Source organism: Homo sapiens, chromosome 17 (assembly GCF_000001405.40).
Source record: "Homo sapiens chromosome 17, GRCh38.p14 Primary Assembly".
NCBI classification, from domain to species: domain Eukaryota; kingdom Metazoa; phylum Chordata; class Mammalia; order Primates; family Hominidae; genus Homo; species Homo sapiens.
Window position 1 is genome coordinate 1785887 of NC_000017.11, and position 19957 is coordinate 1805843.

Consider the following 19957-nt stretch of genomic DNA (forward strand, 5'->3'; position numbering starts at 1 on the left):
CTCCCCTAAGAAGAATACGGCACTTGTGGCAGAGGGGAAACCTCCGAGGTGGACATCTGCTGTGTTTCAAAGGCCGATATCTATTTTCTCATTTGGCAACAGCAACCCAACCCAGTTTCTCATAAGGATCCCTCTCACCCTCAGTCCCATGGCCCTTGCCCTACAGCTGAGGGTGTGGCATGTGGCTCACATATGGCTCCTTCCTCTGGCCCAAATGGCTGGAGGAAAACTATGTCTAATTTTCCTCCAGCCACAGTTCTCAGGTCAATGAAACACAGTAACATCTCTGCCCAGGCTGCTGTTTGAGTGGCATGTGCTCTTATCCTCCTTGGCAGGAAATCCGCAGGCTGGGCTGCTGGCAGCCATCCTGCATCGTAAGAGGGAAGTCTATCTGAGGATGGGCTAACACAGAGAAAATGAAGCTGAGAGGGGTGGACAGAAAGCCCCTGGATCAAGCTGTATCTTAAGCAGCCTTATCCTGGAATTTTTCTCATAACATTTTTTTTGGTAGAGACAGGGTCTTGCTATGTTGCCCAGGCTGGTCTTGAACCCCTGGCCTCCAAGTGATCTGTCCACCTCAGCCTCCCAAAGTGCTGGGATAATAGGCATGTGTCACTGTGCCCAGCCTATCCTGGGACTTTTCAATGACTGACTTCAGCAAATAAATTCCCAGTCTCCCCCAGATCCCAAACCAGTTCAGATGGGATCTTCTGTCCTTTATAAAGGAAACATTACTAAATTGAACCTTTCCCTGTGGTTTCTCTGGAGGGGAACTAGTGTATGGGGATGACTGGCTAAAATGGAGGTGATATTACTGGTCTCAGCACTTACAAGTCCCTGATGGCTTCCTCCTAAACACTGATCACCCTTGGGGTGGAAAACTGACCTCCAGGAAAAGTGGAGGAGACAGAAGAGAGAATTACCTGCATGGGCGCTCCGCAACTGTTGCAACAGAATGCTTCCCACCTGGGCCCTGCAGCCATCCTGTGTGCCTCAGTTTGACAAGCTGGACAGGCGCAGTCAAAGAAATACTGAGACCTCAGCTTCTGCTGCCTTTCGGCAACCCCCATCCGGCTCTTGTGAGGCCCTGGAGGGAGATCACCGTCAGCCAATATTGAAAGCAAGAGAGAGTCAAACACTACGTAAAAACCTTCAGCTTAGCAGAGGGTCTGGACAATTACCTATCATGTGACAGCTAACCTTTACCCAAATATTTGTGGAACTGGATACTAAAATAAGCTTCCAAGTTGCTGAGACAGGAAGAAAGAGAAGCCAAGAAGTTGTTCCTAGCCCATTTTCAGAATAGGAAGTTTATAGTGATTAAACAGCGAGACATAGTTTAGCCGCAATAGGGCCCTAGCACGAAGGCCATTCCTTCCATCCTCCCTTCCTTGTTTTTGGCCTAAGTGTTCACTGCCTCTTCCAGGAAGCAGACAGTAGACAGGTGAAGTCACATGCCTGGTGGCTTGCTGACTTGCGTCCCCGTCCTTTTCTGTTGGAGAAGGGCAGGATGGCAGTGCGGAGGGATGGCTCACCATAGCAGTGGAGAATCTCTTGCCCCTTTCTAATCCGCTGTGACGCCCGGATGGTGGCGACAGTGCTAATGAAGGACACGCTGGTGTTGGGGCTACAGGAGTGGTTCAGGAGGCTGATAACAGGGAAGATGCCTGTGGCAAGGCGCACCTGCCTGCTGTCGGTAACGATGCTCCCTTTAGGTCCTGAAAGGGCAAGAGGAAAGAAGGAAAAAGGTGTCAGCACATGAGCCCTGGCCTTGCCCTCTGTTCCTCAGAAGATGAGCTGGGCAGCTAGGCCTGCAGCCCGTGTGAGTCATGGCTCCACAGCCAGATCCAATATAAATCAGATGGGACATGACTCACGGCAAGCTCCAGTCCCCAGGAAGCAAAGTGGATGAACGCACACAAAGTCCACTGGAGTCCTGGAACCTAACGACTGTGTCTCTACACCACGAAATAGCCAAAGATAAGAACTTATAAAGAAGTAATAAAAAAGGGATGATAAGTAGGGAGCGTTCTAGATAGTTTCATAATGTTCTCACATAGAAACCAGAGCCCCTGTTGAGGTGACTTCCCAAAGACTTTTAGAGCCCAAGGGCTTTTGTTTATCTGGTCTTTGGTTGGTTAACAGAACAAGCGACCTAGTTACTACCCCAAACTTTATATATTTAAGCAGGCCAGGCACCAGGGCTCCTGCCTGAAATCCCGAGGCTCACGCAGAAGAATTGCTTGAGCCCAGGAGTTCAAGGCCAGCCTGGACAACACAGCTAGATTTGGTCTCTAAAAAAAAAAAATTAAAATATTAGCCAGCTGTGGTGGTGCACACCTGTAGTCCCAGCTACTCAGGAGGCTGAGGTGGGAGGATCAGTTGAGCCCTAGAGAGCGAGGCTGCAGTGAGCCAGGATTGCACCACTGCACTCCAGCCTGGGTGACAGAGCAGGCCCTGTCTGAAGAAAAATAAATAAAAATTTAAAAAAAGTTTTACTCTAATTGTAACATTTATTATTTTTTTCTTTTTTGGTCTTTTCAGGCCCATAGTTTACTTTAAAATTTTGTTCATTTTGGCCGGGCGCGGTGGCTCACGCCTGTAATCCCAGTACTTTGGGAGGCCGAGGCGGGCAGATCACAAGGTCAGGAGATCGAGACCATCCTGACTAACACGGTGAAATCCCGTCTCTACTAAAAACACAAAAAATTAGCTGGGTGTGGTGGTACGTGCCTGTAGTCCCAGCTACTCAGGAGGCTGAGGCAGGAGAATCGCTTGAACCCCTGAGGACGTTGCAGTGAGCCAAGATCGTGCTGCTGCACTCCAGCCTAGACAACAAGAGTGAGACCCCGCCTCCAAAAAAAAAAAAATTTGTTCATTTCAGAAAAGAAAGCATGGTGGATAATTAGCACTTTAAAAGTCCACCTGTAACACTTCACTTAGCCAGAGGCTCTACCTGTGCTGGCTTTTCTCAAAGCCATCTGTCCTAGGAGTATGTACAGTAAAGATAACCTTGGGCACACAGAAACGCTTAAATTATCTTCAGTAGTCTCAATTTAAGCATGAGGCAAATTGTGTTTCTAACAAAACAGGTTGGAAGATAAAAAATACCAGTATTTAAAAGGAAACATTCAGTTTTCTGGAAAACTGGAAAAAAACCATCAAATAACTGTGATATCACCGAATATATGCCAGGAATCTCAAAAAAACCACTCACCAGGCTGGGCATGGTGGCTCATGCCTGTAATCCCAGCACTTTGGGAGGCCGAGGCGGGTGGATCACCTGAGGTCAGAAGTTCGAGAGTAGCCTGGCCAAAATGGCAAAACCCTGTCTCTACTAAAAACACAAAAATTAGCTGGGCATGGTGGCATGCGCCTGTAGTCCCAGCTACTCGGGAGGCGAGGTACGAGAATTGCTTGAATCCAGGAGGAGGAGGTTGCAGTGAGCCCAGATCACACTGCTGCACTCCAGCCTGGGTGACAGAGCAAAACTGTCTCGCAAAACAAAAAAAACAAATTCACCAAAGAAATAGTCTAGGTACAAATGTAATGGATAAAGAAAATATTATGAACCATTATGTGAAAATGTTTTATAGGCCAGGTGCAGAGGCTCACGCCTGTAATCCCAGCACTTTGGGAGGCCAAGGCGGGCAGATCACTTGAGGTCAGGAGTTCAACACCAGCTTGGCCAACATGGTGAACCCTCGTCTCTACCAAAAATATAAAAACTTAGCTGAGCGTGGTGGCGTGCACCAGTAATCCCTGCTACTCGGGAGGCTGAAGCAGGAGAATCGCTTGAAACTGGGAGGTGGAGGTTGCAGTGAGCCGAGATCGCACCACTGCACTCCAGCCTGGGTGAAAGAGCGAGACTCTGTCTCAAAAAAAAAAAAAAAGTTTTATAAAGGAAAACACTGAATATAGGAATAATGTTGTCAATTTTGTTGTCAATTTTACTATCTGTTGCTAAGGAGAACAAGAATAGAACAAGTAAATACATTTTGCAGGGAATCCAAATGACTCAATTCTAGTTAATAATTCTACAAATTGTATTAAAATCTTTCATCAGAGCTTCTCCTAAGTGCTTCGCTGATTTTTGTTTCTTCTTCTCCCCCTTGTCCGGTGCCCACCTTCTGGTATATGTGCTAATGAGCAGTGAAAATGCTAAAAGGCAGGTGGCAGGAAGGAGCCGTCCAGGGCATGAACAATTTGTCGTCTGAATAATCAGCCTCTGCATAATTAAAAGTGGACTTGCATTGCCAACTACTGATAACTGGCAATCTATATTAGAACCATTGCTAAAATTTTCCAGAAAAGAATGATCACACTACAGTGAGTAATGTCAGCTTTGTGAATTATTTATAGATTACCCTCTGACAGAAGTAGGCCCAGGAACCGTGTGGGTATTTATGTCAGAGTTGAATAGCTCTCTAATTATTTCTAAAAAATTAAGTATTGATTTTTAAAAATTACTCAGTATTGTGCATTAATCATCTATTAGTAGAGATAATAGAAAGTGAGAATATGTATGTAGTTCCTCAACCAAATTTAATCTGTGACATTTTGTATTAAAATAAAGAGGGAGTGATTCTATACCAAAACAGTACCTTGCTAATATCCCTAGTGCATTTCTTTTTATTTATTTATTTTTCAGATGTAGTCTCACTCTGTCGCCTAGGCTGGAATGCAGTGGCATGATCTCATCTCACTGCAACCTCCGCCTCCTGGGTTCAAGCGATTCTCCTGCCTCAGCCTCCTGAGTAGCTGGGATTACAGGCGCCCATCACCACACTCAGCTCATTTTTGTATTTTTAGTAGAAGACAGGTTTCAGCATGTTAGTCAGGCTAGTCTCGAACTTCTGACCTCGTGATCCACCCACCTTGGCCTCCCAAAGTGCTGGCTAAGCCATGCCCATCCCTGGTGCATTTAAACTGGGATTCAAGTAAAGAAAAAAGATTCATGCCGGGCGCGGTGGCTCACGCCTGTAATCCCAGCACTTTGGGAGGCCCAGGCGGGTGGATCACGAGGTCAGGAGATCGAGACCTTCCTGGCTAACACGGCGAAACCCCGTCTCTACTAAAAATACAAAAAAATTAGCCGGGCATGGTGGTGGGCGCCTGTAGTCCCAGCTACTCGGGAGGCTGAGGCAGGAGAACGGAGTGAACCCGGGAGGTGGAGCTTGCAGTGAGCCGAGATCGCGCCACTGCACTCCAGCCTGGGCTGGCCCGTCTCAAAAAAAAAAAAAAAAAAAAAAGATAGATTCCTTCAATGCTGAAGAGTGAAAGCAATGGGCAGTGAATTGATGGGAAGTGACAGGACACAGAACCCCAATAAAATCTTGTTATGACAGGAATCCGGATAGATCATAAATATGCCATTCCCACTGAGACAGAACCACACGTGTCACGGTCTAGAAAATCATCAGTGGCCAGTTCTGTCCCTTGAGATAAGCCCTAGTGAGAGGTTTCTGGGGAACTTTGATTAAACAGGATTTATGCAAAGATAATAACATACATTTTTATAGGTTTTTGTCAAAGTCTATCCTAGTTAACACTTTAATCCTTTGCCTGTACTACTAATGAAACAGCTGCTAATGAAATTCAATGAGAACACTAAATTGAGAGGGATTGGAACCCCAAAGAAATAATAAAAAGGGATATAACAAGATTAGAAATATGAGCAGACTAAAAGAAAATGAGATGAAATTTAACAATGAAAGTGAACCTTGCTGGTGGGCGCGTCAGTGGAACTTTCCTGGAGGGCAATTTTGCAAGCTGTATCAAGTGCCTTAAAAATGTTCATAGAAAAGTACTCTTATCATTTGAATTATCTTTATTATTAAAAAAACTAACTGAGGCTGGGCGCAGTGGCTCACGCCTGTAATCCCAGCACTTTGGGAGGCAGAGGTGGGAGGATCGCTTGAGCCCAGGAGTTTGAGGTTACAGTGAGCTACGATCGCCCCACTGCACTCCAGCCTAAGTGACAGAGTGAGACCCTGTCTCAAAAACAAACAAAAAACCACTAATTGAAATTACAAAAGGAATACGTGGTAGTCAGAAAAAAATTTAAAAATTGAACATTACAGAGAAAATGACAGTTGCTTGTAATGCCATCAGGCAGATATAACATGTTATCTTTAAATCCTAACCTAAAATACATTTTTTTTTTTTTTGAGACGGGGTCTCGCTCTGTCGCCCAGGCTGGAGTGAGTGCAGGGGCGCGATCGCGGCTCAGTGCAAGCTCCGCCTCCTGGGTTCACACCATTCTCCTGCCTCAGCCTCCAGAGTAGCTGGGACTACAGGCGCCCGCAACCACGCCCGGCTAATTTTTTGTATTTTTAGTAGAGACGGGGTTTCACGTTAGCCAGGATGGTCTCGATCTCCTGACCTCGTGATCCTCCCACCTCGGCCTCCTCAAGTGCTGAGATTACAGGCTTGAGCCACCACGCCTGGCCTAAAATGCATTTTAGAATTAAAAATACAGGTCGGGCACGGTGGCTCACCCCTGTAATCCCAGCACTTTGGGAGGCCAAGGTGGGCGGATCACGAGGTCAGGAGATGGAGACCACCTTGCTAACACGGTGAAACCCTGTCTCTACTAAACATACAAAAGTTAGCCCGGTGTGGTGCACACCTGAGCCCAGCTACTTGGGTGCCTGAGGAGGGAGGATCAGTTGAACCCTGGAGGTCGAGGCTTCAGTGAGCTGAGATCACGCCGCTGCACTCCAGCCTGGGCAACAGACAGAGGCCCTGTCTCAAAAAACAAAAACAAAACCAGTAAAACAACTCTGCTGCCGTGACAGGCCAACAAAGGTATCTGGTTTTAATTACTAGAGAGGTTAGAGAGTGACCGTTTTTACTTATCACTATCTACTTCGATACAGTGCTTGCTCACGTGTGCTTTCAACAGCTGTACTGAGATAGAATCCATCTACCGTAAAATTCACTTAAGTGTACGATTCAGTGCTTTTTTGGGGGGAAATTTATAAGATTGGGCAAACAGTACCACAACCCGGCTTTAGATTTTCATCATTATGCATGTTTTTATTTTTATCTTGCTATTTTTTAGACAGGGTCTCACTCTGTTGCAATGGGGTGATCTCAGCTCACGGCGGCCTCGACCTCCTGGGCCCGAGCCGCTGTCCCACCTCAGACTCCCGGGTAGCTGAGACCACAAGCGCGCACCACCACACTCAGCTAATTTTTGTATTTTTGTAGACACAGAGTTTAGCCATGTTGCCCCGGGTGGTCTCTAACTCGTGGGCTCAAGTAATCCTCCTGCCTCAGCCTTCCAAAGTGCTGGGATTATAGGTGTGAGCCACTGTGCCTGGCCGCTATGCATATTTTTAAAAGTTGATTTTAAGAGCTGTATAGTTGCTAGAGATATTCCCTCATTTTGTCCATTTACATCTAATTTTTGTTTATGAGGTTTTTTTGGGGGGATTGTTAAAACAATGACAATTTCACTTGTTCACAATTCTGTACCCCGGCAGTTTTGGCTCAGCTGAGTATTTTTTTTTTTTCTGCTGGTTTTGCCTGGGGCTGACTCACATGACTGCCTTTCTGTGGCACCTGGTCTTTTATCCTCAAGGAAGCCAGCCCAGGCTTGTTCACAGGGCTACACTATCACTCCAAGACGGTGACAGTGGAGGCAATTAAGGCTTAGACTCAAAAGTCACATCAGGTCACTTCTGTCTATTGGTCAAAGCAAGTTACAGAGCTAGCCCAGATTCAAGGAGAGGGGAAAAAAATCTCCACTTCTTGACAAGAGAAGCAGCAATGTCAAGCTGCAAAGAGGCAACTTATAGGGATGGGAGAAACTGTGGTCATGTTTGCAAACAGCCTTCCCCAGAGGCTCTGAGGCTTATCCAGTCTCATCATGTCCATGATGACACTGAGATACACAGAGGTTCAGGAGATTAGGTCTTCTGCCTCTCAGTGCAGTGTTTTTTTTTTGAGAGGAAGTTTCACTCGTTGCCCAGGCTGGGGTGCAGTGGTGTGATCTCGGCTCACTGCAACCTCCACCTCCCAGATTCAAGCGATTCTCCTGCCTTGGCCTCCCTAGTAGCTGGGACTACAGGCATCCACCACCACGCTTGGCTAATTTTTGTGTATATATATATGTATATATATATATGTGTGTATATATATATGTATGTATATATATATGTGTGTATATATATGTGTATATATATGTGTATATATATATATATATATATATATTTTTTTTTTTTTTTTTTTTTTGAGATGGAGTTTTGCTCTGTCACCCAGGCTGGAGTACAGTGGTGTGATCTTGGCTCACTGCAACCTCCGCCTCCCAGGTTCACGCCAGTCTCCTGCCTCAGCCTCCCAAGTAGCTGGGACTACAGGCGCCCACCACCACACCAGGCTAATTTTTTTTTTTTTTTTGTATTTTTAGTAGAGACGGGGTTTCACCGTGTTAGCCAGGATGGACACGATCTCCTGACCTTGTGATCCACCCACCTCAGCCTCCCATAGTGCTGGGATTACAGGCCTGAGCCAACACGCCCGGCCATCCTTTATCTTCCTAACCAATTATGGTGTTCTTGGTATTTGGTACCTAAGTAGTTAAATCTAGCTATCTTTTAATTACCTAAATTTGACATTCTATAGTATTTTAAAAAGCCTCTCCCACCCTAAGACTACATAAATGTTCACTTACCTTTAACTAGATAATTGATGGTTTAATTCTGAAATATTTAAGTTGTTAATGATTTGAAAAAGACTCTAATCCTTTTTGGGGGGCTGTCATCAGTTTCCAGTTGTTTTTCATTTTGTAGCTTTAATGCTCGTATGAAATCTGACAGTACCAAGACCTTTCAGTTCTCTTAAAAAAAAAAAAAGGCTATTCTCACCCATTTATTCAAGATGAATTTAGAATGTTGTCAAGTTCCCAGAAAAACTCAACTGTGATTCTGTTTGAAATGGTATGAAACTGATTAGGTTAATGCAGGAAACTCAAAGTTTTCAGTCTTTCCATTAAGAACATGGCATGTCTCTGTGGTTATCGAAGCCGTCTTTCATATCCCTCCGAATTAAAATACCTTTGCCTTTCTGGGAGAAACTCTTCTTGGTTATGTATTATTATTCCTTCAATAAACTGCTAGATATGACACTGCAGTGGTTTATCCAGGGTTTCTACATCTACATTCACAAGTGAGACTGGTCTCTAGCTTTTATCACCGGCTTTCTAAAATGACTGGGAAAGAGTTCTAGGTTTCCCCACAGGCTGGAGCAGTTTACACAGTATAGAAACAGGCTGTTCTCTGTTTGTTGTTGTTCCCAGTGGGTGGGGTCTTGCTATGTTGCCCAGGCTGGTCTCGAACTCCAGGGCTCAAGTGTTCCTCCTGCCTCAGCCTTCTGTCTGTCTGTCTGGTCTGTCTATCTGAGAGAGACTTGCTCTGTCGCCCTGGCTATCTATCTATCTATCTAATCATCTATCTATCTATCTAAGAGACTTGCTCTGTCACCCTGGCTGTAGTACAGTGGCACGATCTCAGCTCTATCTATCTATCTATCTATCTATCTATCTATCTATCTAATCATCTATCTATCTATCTAAGAGACTTGCTGTGTCACCCTGGCTGGAGTACAGTGGCACGATCTCAGCTCACTGCAACCTCTACCTTCCAAGTTCAAGCAATTCTCATGCCTTAGCCTCCCGTGTAGCTGGGATTACAGGCACCTGCCATCACGCACAGCTAATTTTTGTATTTTTAATAGAGACGGGTTTCACCATGTTGGCCAGGCTGGTCTCGAACTCCTGACCTCAGGTGATCCACCTGCCTTGGCCTCCCAAAGTGCTGGGATTACACGCATGAGCCACTGTGCCTGGCCCGTGAGTTTTTTTTTTTTTTTTTTAAGTATTTTCCTCTAGAATTATGGGAAAGGTATACAATCATTTTAAAATTTAATAGTATAATGGTACCACTGTGTGAATAAGTGTTTTTAATGTTAAAAAATCAGAAAAGTTCAAAGAAGAAAGTAGCAATCACCTGTATTTCCACTTTCAGAATTAATCACTGCTCAGATTTTGGTATTTTTGCTTCTACTGTTTCTTCTATGTATATATTTTTAAAACATTACATAAACAATAAATTATGCATAAAACATTAGAACCTCATAGATAAAGCCGATGTCTCCAAACCACTTTCCATGACCCCAAGTAGCCAGTATTACGATATGTATCTATTCTTCCAGTTTTCATTAGCCACAGAATAAGCATGTATTTTTCTTTTTTCTTTTTGAGACAGGGTCTCTCTCTGTTGCCCAGGCTCTAGTGCAGTGGCGCAACTCATGTCTCACTGAAGCCTCGAACTCTTCGGCTCAAGCAATCCTCCTGCCTCAGCTTCCCAAGTAGCTGGGACCACAGGCACATGCCACCATGCCTGGCTGTTTTTTTTTTTTTTTTTTGTAGAGATGGGTCTTGCTCTGTTGCCCAGGATGGTCTCAAATTCCTGGGCTCAAGCAATCCGCCCACCTCAGCCTCCCAAAATGCTGAGGTTAAAGGTGTGAGCCACTGCGGCTGGCTTCAGGTATTCTTTTTTTTTTGAGATGGAGTCTCCCTCTGTCACCAGGCTGGAGTGCAGTGGCGTGATCTCGGCTCACTGTAACCCCCACCTCCCAGGTTCAAGCAATTCTCCTGCCTCAGCCTCCCAGGTAGCTAGGACTACAGGCGCCCGCTGCCATGCCCAGCTAATTTTTGTATTTTTAGTAGAGATGGGGTTTCACCACGTTGGCCAGGATGGTCTTGATCTCTTGACCTCGAGATCCGCCCGCCTCGGCCTCCCAAAGTGCTGGGATAATAGGTATGAGCCACCGCGCCCAGCCCTATTAAGTATTTTAAAGGCAAGACATGGAATCAAGAGTTGGTAACTTTCTGCTATTTAATTGGGAAGCCCCATATATTTTTATGTTCAGAAAAACAGAACAAAGTAAAGTATATTAAAAAATACAAGTGAATATACCCAAAGGAGAACCTAATTCTGGAAAAATACTCAGCAGCTATATTTTAGATGGTAGCAAAGGCACAAAGAAGCAAAGGAGGGCAGAGGAAAACACAGGCTAACCTGACATGTGATTTAGTAGTATCATGGGACCAGGCCAGTCCTATTTTTAGATGTTCCACGAGCTTCAGGATGGGGAAGAGAATCTTGGCCAAAACATGTCTACTGAGATACCTATATACCATATAACTTGCCTGCTGAATTAAAATTAAACATAAACATGCACACCAAAATAGGCTGACAAATTCTAGATGACCTAATGTGAGATCAAATGAGCTAAGCATGTAGAGTTTAGTGAAGCCACATTTAATATTCATCTGTCTATAAAAACTCGGTTTAGCTAACACCTGGTTTCCTCCCTCTCAAGAGAGTTAATTGAAAAAATTAAGAAAAGTATAATGAACGGATTGAGTCAAAAAACATTTTCTGCTAAAATGAAGATCATAAAATAGAAAGACTACAAATGCCACTTTTCTAATAATAGTTGTATCTGTTGTCAGCACAGTCACACTGGAGATGTCAAGCTGGATCATGATTCTCGGCACATCCAACCTTCCCATCTATCTTAAGTAGTGTTATCTATAGGCTCCAGTTCAGGAAAGCAGGCTGAGCCAGCTCGTCTGTGTTTAGAGGTGGCCCCTTGAGGTTTGGCCACCTGATCAAAGGACAGGCACTATGCAGGCTGGCAGCTTCTGCTGCAGTGTGGGGTGGAAGGCTGCGCTGGGCTGGAAATTTAGAAGAATGGGAAATATCTCTCAATTGGAAAGAGAAGACAGAGAGTAGCTGATTGAGTTAAGGGTCTGATATCTGGCCGGGCACGGTGGCTCACGCCTGTAATCCCAGCACTTTGGGAGGCCAAGGTGGGTGGCTCACCTGAGGTCAGGAGTTCGAGACCAGCCTGGCCAACATGGTAAAACCCCATCTCTACTAAAAATACAAAAATTAGCTGGGCGTGGGGGTGCACGCCTGTAATCCCAGTTACTCGGGAGGCTGGGGCAGGAGAATCGCTTGAACCTGGCAGACAGAGGTTGCAGTGAGCCGAGATTGTGCCACCGCACTCCAGCCTGGGTGACAGGGCAACACTCCATCTCAGAAAAAAAAAGAAAAAAAGGACTTTGATACCTTACCCAACTACTGGGCCTCTTCTTTCTGCAGTCTGGTTTGACTATTATTTCTGCCCTCCCTAAAGAGAAACTATATAGCTTTCTCTGGAATCTTGTGCATGTATTTTTTTTTTTTTTCTCTTGAGACAGGGTTTCACCCAGGCTGGAGTGCATCGGTGCGATCATGGCTCACTGCAACCTCTGCCTCCTGGGCTGAAGTGATTCTCCTGCCTCAGCCTCCCAAGTGGCTGGGATTAGAGGCGTACCTGGCTAATTTTTGTATTTTGTCATGCTTTCCAGGCTAGTCTTGAACTCTTGAGCTCAAGTAAGTGATTTGACCCACCCCGGCCTCCCAAAGTGCTGGGATTACAGGCGTACTGTGTCAGGCCTTTTGTGTATGTACCTTATAAGAAACTTGCTATTACTATTTATTTGAGACAGTTTTCCTTCATAACCAAAAAAATTCGGGTTGAGTGCAGTGGTTCACACCTGTAATCCCAGCACTTGGGGAGGCTGAGGCGGGAGGATTGCTTGAGCCCAGGAGTTCAAGACCAGCCTGGGCCACATAGCAAGTCCTCATCTCTATTAAAAAAATTTTAAAAGGCCAGGTGCAGTGGCTCATGCCTGTAATCTCAGCATTTTGGGAGGCCAAAGCAGGTGGATCACCTGAAGCCAGGAGTTCAAGTCCCACCTGGCCAACATGGCAAAACCCCGTCTCTACTAACAACACAAAAAAATTAGCCAGGCATGGTGGCGCATGCTTGTAATCTCAGCTACTTGGGAGGCTGAGCATGAGAATCATTTGAACCTGGGAGGTGGAGGCTACAGTGAGCTGAGATTGCGCCACTGCACTCCAGCCTGGGAAAGAGCAAGACTCTGTCTCAAAAAAAAAATAAATAAATAAAGTAAAATAAAAAATAAATTTTTTTTCAGCAATATGGACTTTTTAAAGAATTTCAAAAGAATTTTTACAAACAGCCAGGCACGGTGGCTCATGCCTATAATCCCAGCACTTTGGGAGGCTGAGGCGGGCGGATCACGAGGTCAGGAGATCGAGACCATGGTGAAACCCCGTCTCTGCTAAAAATACAAAAAATTAGCCGGGCGTGGTGGCGGGCGCCTGTAGTCCCAGCTACTGGGGAGGCTGAGGCAGGAGAATGGCGTGAACCTGGGAGGCAGAGCTTGCAGTGAGCTGAGATCACGCCACTGCACCCCAGCCTGGGGGTGACAGAGTGAGACTCCGTCTCAAAAAAAAAAAAAGAATTTTTACAAACATAGCTTTACACAACTCTGTAAAGTTAGCTGGGATAAAACTACCCATTTTACAGATGAGAAACTGAGGCAGAACGGAATCAAATAATTTTTTTTTTTTTTGAGATGGAGTCTCACTCTGTCGCCAGGCTGGAGTGCAGTGGCACGATCTCGGCTCATTTGCAACCTCCACCTCCCGGGTTCAGGTGATTCTCCTGTCTTAGCCTCCCGAGTAGCTGGGACTACAGGCATGTACCACCATGCCCAGCTAATTTTTTTATTTTTATTTTTAGTAGAGACGGGGTTTCACCATGTTGGCCAGGATGGTCTTGATCTCTGGACCTTGTGATCTGCTCACCTCGGCCTCCCAAAGTGCTGGGATTATAGGAGTGGGCCACCACGCCTGGCAGGATCAAATAATTTAAGGTCATATAGCTTCTTAATGGCATTGTGACAATAAACAAGACAGCTTAGTGATCCCATTAGCTCAATGATTTGTTTGAATCCTATTTTCCTTTGGAATTGTTTCTTCTCAAACACCTGCTCCATCGAGAACAATATTGAAAAGCAGGAACATCAGGTTCCCTCTTACCTGTGTGTTGTATGGTGGTCATCGCCTGAGCGTTACACTGAAGCTGTAACATGTGTCTCAGCATCGCCACTCCCCAAATAGTCACGTCAGGACACAATTCAGGTGTCACTGCTGCTTTAAGCTGAGAGGAGTTCACAATCCTCTCAGTTGGGATGGCCTGTAAACTGGCTGCTTCTAGCTGTCTGCACAGTGCAGAAACACAGAGAGCACAGAGGAATTTGTGCTCTGGGCTATGGTTTTCAGTGTGGGGCAAAAGGTTGAAGACAGCATTATAATTATTTTCATACTTCCCATTAATATCGCATCCAGGAATTGGGGTCTCAACGATGTTGCCATTTTTCTCACTCTCCCCTAGGCCATAATTAAGTGTCTTGACCTGATTGTTGCTTTCAGGTAAACAGATGTCCTTGTTACTAATCTTATCACAAAGCTTCGTTATGATTTTGCGAACATCCTCAAATCCCACCAAAAGAGTCAACCTCAGGGCAATGTGGCAAAAGACACCCAGTGTGAGAAGCAGCCCTCCCAGAGGACATTCTGTCCTGTGGTAGAGCTCCCAGGCCTGCTGCAAACACTCCTGGCTGCAATACTTGGCATAACTGCATCCGTCACACGGAACTGTGGCCAAAGTGTGCTTCAAACATCGGTGACAATAGAGGTCCCCATTGGTGACTCTGGTGTCCCATTTGCTGTCTAGGCCGTGATGCGGTGGTGGCAGTTCTCCTGGGTTGAGAACACTCACAAAAGCATCCTCCTGCACCAGGAGCTCTCCTGGGAGAATATCTTTTGTGGCAACGAGACAGCGACCTTTTAAAGGATCTACGCATAAGCCGATGGATGATGAGGCATTGGAAAGTTGTTCATTCTCCTCCCTCAGCGCTGCATCCTCAAGGGTTTTGGCCAGAGCTGCTGGGAAGCTTTCTGTGAGACTGTCCTTTTCTTGCATCTTCATTTTCAGACGATGGAGGTTTCTCTGCAGAGTCTGAGGGAGGACATCTGCTAGGGCTGGTGTGGCTGTGAAGTTCCTTTCAAGATCACTGATGGTCTGGCTTGCCTCCTGCAGTCTCCCCAGGGCCACCAGACATTCTGCTTTACGTAACATAATCTTGGGTTGCAACCTTTCTGGATACCCATGTGTCTGTGCTCTGTTAATGTCTTTAAGACACGTCTGAAAACAGAAAGAAAATCCCACAATGACCCTTGGTCCCTATTCTTCAATGTTTACTGAAAATGTTTCCAAAAATCTACAGGAAAGTTAAGGATTATTAAAAAATGGAACAATTACAACCACATGCTTATTAAAATCATATAGTTCTGTGTGATCCTTTGAGTGATTAGCAATACTTGTTGAGGATATTGTTATGCTTAATGTTTTTGGATTAAATTTTTTCTTTTTTTTTGAGACGGAGTCTCGCTCTGTCGCCCAGGCTGGATTGCAGTGGTGCGACCTTGGCTCACTGCAAGCTCCACCTCCTGGGTTCACGCCATTCTCCTGCCTCAGCCTCCTGAGTAGCTGGGACTACAGGTGCCCGCCACCACACCCAGCTATTTTTTTTTGTATTTTTAGTAGAGACGGGGTTTTGCCATGTTAGCCAGGATGGTTTCGATCTCCTGACCTCATGATACGCCCGCCTCAGCCTCCCAAAGTGCTGGGATTACAGGCATGAGCCACTGCGCCCAGCCCCTGGATTAAATATTTCTATTTTTTAAGGAAAAAGAAGTCTTATGAATAGAAGAATTATAGCATGGTGACTAACAGGCAGGCTTTGAAAAAAAAAAAAAAAAAAAAAGAGGCAGGCTTTGAGTCCAAGCAGACCTGCATTCAAATACACTCTGCTGGCCGGGTGCGGTGGCTCATGCCTGTAACCCCAGCACTTTAGGAGGCCGAGGCGAGCAGATCACGAGGTCAGGTGATCGAGACCATCCTGGCTAACATGGTGAAACCCCATCTCTACTAAAAACACAAAAAATTAGCTGGGCGTGGTGGTGGGCGCCTGTAGTCCCAGCTACTCAGCAGGCTGAGGCAGGAGAAACGCTTGAACCTGGGAGGCTGAGGTTGCAGCGAGCCGAGATCATGCCACTGAACTCCAGCCTGGGTGACAGAGCGACACTCTGTCTCAAAAACAAACAAACAAACAAAAAACCAAATACACTCTGCCTCTTACTAGCCACATGACCTTGTGCAATCGACTTAATTTCTGTGTCTTAATTTTATCTAAAAAACAGGGATAATAATATCTCCCAGTGTTGTTTTAAGGATAAAAGGAAATAATATATCTAACATGCCAAAAGGAGCACCTGGAACACAGTATGTGCTCAATAAATGATAATCATTATTATAAGAAGGAAAACATTTGGGCATGGTGGCTCACGCCTGTAATCCCAGCATTATGGGAGACCGAGGTGGGCGGATCACTTGAGTCCAGGAGTTTGAGACCAACCCGGACAACACAGATGAGACCCTGGGCTCTATAAAAAAATTAAACAATTAGCCAGGCCTGGTGGCACATACCTGTAGTCCTAGCTACTCATGAGACTAAAGCAGGAAGACTGCTTGAGCCCAGGAGTTTGAGATCACAGTTAGCTATGATCGAGTCACTGCACTCCAGCCTGGGTAACAGAGACCCTGTCTCAAAAATAAAAAAAAATAAAGAAAAAGGAAAACAGAAACAATCAATAAAGAAAAGTTATAAAGGGTTCAATGTATTGCAAGTTCTTTTTCCTAATCACTGGCCTCAGCAGTCCAGGACTTTCTTGTTTAGGGTCAAGGGTTAGATTCCTGCTTTTCTCTTTTAGTCTGAAGGGCAGTAAGTGTGGACTTCTTACTATTCCAATAGTTCTCAACCCTAGGGTATAATTTGAATTTTTGTAGAATGTTGAAACAGATGTATCAAAATGGCATTTTAGAGCTTGTCCTTAGACCTCTCTAATACAAATGCCAGATGCCTCAGAGGTATCCTCCTAAAACATTAATCCGATTTTGGTCACTTCCTGTTTTAAAAACTCAACTGACACGGCTGGGCGCAGTGGCTCACGCCTGTAATCCCAGCACTTTGGGAGGCTGAGGCGGGAGGATCACAAGGTCAGGAGTTTGAGACCAGCCTGACCAACATGGTGAAACGCCATCTCTACTTAAAATTAGCCGGGCGTGGTGGTGCACGCCTGTAGTCCCAGCTACTCAGAGGCTGAGGCAGGAGAATCGTTGAACCCGGGAGGCGGAGGTTGCAGTGAGCAGAGATCACGCCACTGCACTGACGCCTGGGCGACAGAGCGAGACACTGTCTCAAAAAAACAAAACAAAACAAAACAAAAACTCCACTGACAAAGTCCTCAACTTTTTCTCTGTTGCAACAATTAGGGGATGAGAAGAATGTCATTCACAGAAAGCTGACCTCACAGGCAGACACGGGCAGTTCAAGGTAGGTTTTCCTTTTGCACTCACGACACTTAAGAAGGCTGAGCTATTACTACAGGGATAATCTTAAACACGCTCTACTTATTTAAAGCAGCAAACAGTATACTTTGCAAACACTTGGAACCTGAAGTATTAGCAGCAACATGTCACTTGGCTGATCCTGACACTGAACACTGCTGACCTCTTGGACAGTCCACATCCCCATGGAATGTCCCATAGCTCGCTCTTTCCTTTCTCTTTTGAGACAGAGTCCTGTCTTACCCAAGCTGGAGTGCAGTGGCACGATCTCAGCTCACTGACTCACTGCAACATCTGCCTCCCAGGTTCAAGAGATTCTCCTGCCTCAGCCTCCTGAGTAGCTGGGATTACAGGCGCCCACCACCCGCCCAGCTGATTTTTGTATTTTTAGTAGAGACGGGGTTTCACCATGTTGGCCAGGCTGGTTTCGAACTCCTGACCTCAAGTGATCCGTCTGCCTTGGCCTCCCAAAGTGCTGGGATTACAGGCGTGAACCACCATGCCTGGCCCCATAGCTCTTTCTTGTCAATCAACACTATCCCATATGGTCACCTGTGATCAGTGAAATGACTCAGGAGAAAGGGCGAGTTCAGTTAGTTTTTTTTTTTTTTGAGACAGAGTCTGTTGCCAGGCTGGAGTGCAGTGGTGCGATCTGGGCTCACTGCAACCTCTGCCTCCTGGGTTCAAGCAATACTCCTGCCTCAGCCACTGAAGTAGCTGGGACTACAGGTGCCTGCCACCATGCCCAGCTCATTTTTTGTATTTTTAGTAGAGATGGGGTTTCACCATTTTGGCCAGGATGGTCTTGAACTCCAGACCTCATGATCCGCCTGCCTCAGCCTCCCAAAGTGTTGGGATTACAGGCATGAGCCACTGTGCCTGGCCTAGTACATTTTTTTGAGATAGAGTCTCACTCTGTCACCCAGGCTGGAGTGCAGTGGTGCGATCTCGGCTCACTGTAACCTCTACCTCCCGAGTTCGAGTGATTCTCCTGCCTCAGCCTCCTGAGTAGCTGGGACTACAGATGCATGCTACTACACCCGGCTAATTTTTATCCCTGTATTTTTAGTAGAGACAGGGTTCCACTGTGTCGGCCACGCTGGTCTTGAACTCTTGACCTCAGGTGATCCGCCCGCCTTGACCTCCCAAAGTGCTGAGATTACAGGCAATGAGCGCCCAGTCCGACTTTAGGTAGATATTAATGTGCTTCCAATTCAACCAATAGCAGCATGACATGATTTTAGTGTTCTATGGAAGAAGCAGAGATGAAGGTCTAGTCCTCCAGTAAGAAGCCCTCCGGATCCTGTCCTCTCATACCAGGTATCCTGATACTCACCTCATACTGACCCAGGTGGAAGAGGGCTGCCGAGCGGTTAGCATGACACAGTGACATGTCCTCAGTGTTAGGCCTTGAATGTGACACTCCCTGCAAAACAATGAACTGGTTAAAAGTATAAATGGACACCAGCATCTCTGAAGAACATTTTTCAGATATTCCGGGCTCTAGTACTGAAGACTGTGTGAAACTGGGAAAGTTACTGAACCTCTTTGTGCTTCAGCTTATCTTTTAACTACCTGAGAGCAAAGCTGTGAAGAGCAAGTGAGGACATCAGTATTAAAAGCACTTTGTCAGATACAGCTTCAACCACAAACAATACTGAAGGTGGATAAAAAACTGAGGGACATACCTGCAAGCATAATATCCTACAACCTGAATATAACAAAGGGTGGGTGGCACAAATAGAAATTCACAAAAGAAGAAACACAAATAGTTATAGAAAACAAATGATTAATTCACATATGGATAGCCAAATAGATGAAAATGAACGCAAAAAAGGGATACTAGGCTGGGTGCAGTGGCTCACGTCTGTAATTCCAGCACTTTGGGAGGCTGAGGCATGTGGATCACTTGAGGCCAGGAGTTCGAGACCAGCCTGACCAATATGGCAAAACCCCGTCTCTACTAAAAATACAAAAAAATAGCAGGGCATGGTAATGTGCGCCTGTAATCCCAGCTACTTGGGAGGCTGAGGCATGAGAATGGCTTGAACCTGGGAGGTGGAGGTTAGGTTGCAGTGAGCTGAGATAGTGCCTGAGTGACAGAGTTGGACTGTCACAAACAAACAAAAAAGAATACTTTTTTCTACCATCAAATTGGCAAGGATTAATAATAACCATAAATATGGTACTCAAGTAAATGTAGGAAAGATGGTGATTACTCAGTAAAACTACTGGGATGAGACCGGGCATGGTGGCTCATGCCTGTAATCCCAGCACTTTGGGAGGTCAAGGCAGGTGGATCACTTGAGGTGAGGAGTTTGAGACCTGCCTGGCTAACATGGCAAAACCCCATCTCTACTAAAAATACAAAAATTAGCCAGGCATGGTGGCGCACGCCTGTAATCCCAGTTACTCGGGTGGGTGAGGCAGGAGAATTGCTTGGACTCAGGAAGCAGAGGTTGCAGGGAGCTGAGATCATACCACTGCACTCCAGTCTGGGCAGCAGAGTGAGACTCTGTCTCAAAAAAATAAATTAATAATAAAATAATAATAT

The 19957-nt window shown here is 45.6% G+C and overlaps 1 protein-coding gene across 6 annotated transcripts in view, besides 1 other annotated feature; it reads right to left on the bottom strand.

The window, feature by feature from the left end:
- SMYD4 (SET and MYND domain containing 4) overlaps nt 1–19957 on the bottom strand; it is a 50418-nt gene that overhangs the window by 6402 nt on the left and 24059 nt on the right. For all 6 annotated transcript variants that reach the window (NM_052928.3, XM_024450560.2, XM_047435291.1 and 3 more), the window contains 4 exons: nt 18740–18829; nt 13971–15138; nt 1536–1718; nt 924–1087 (listed from right to left, as the gene is read on the bottom strand). In NM_052928.3, coding sequence (NP_443160.2) covers nt 924–1087; nt 1536–1718; nt 13971–15138; nt 18740–18829 — 1605 coding nt within the window. The remainder of the gene's footprint in view (nt 1–923; nt 1088–1535; nt 1719–13970; nt 15139–18739; nt 18830–19957) is intronic.
- Nucleotides 17769–18063: a silencer, noted in NCBI's record as "tiled region #13179; HepG2 Repressive non-DNase unmatched - State 15:Elon". NCBI's record gives its function as "represses a minimal TATA promoter and a strong SV40 promoter by Sharpr-MPRA in HepG2 cells {active_cell/tissue: HepG2}" and the evidence as "EXISTENCE:reporter gene assay evidence [ECO:0000049][PMID:27701403]".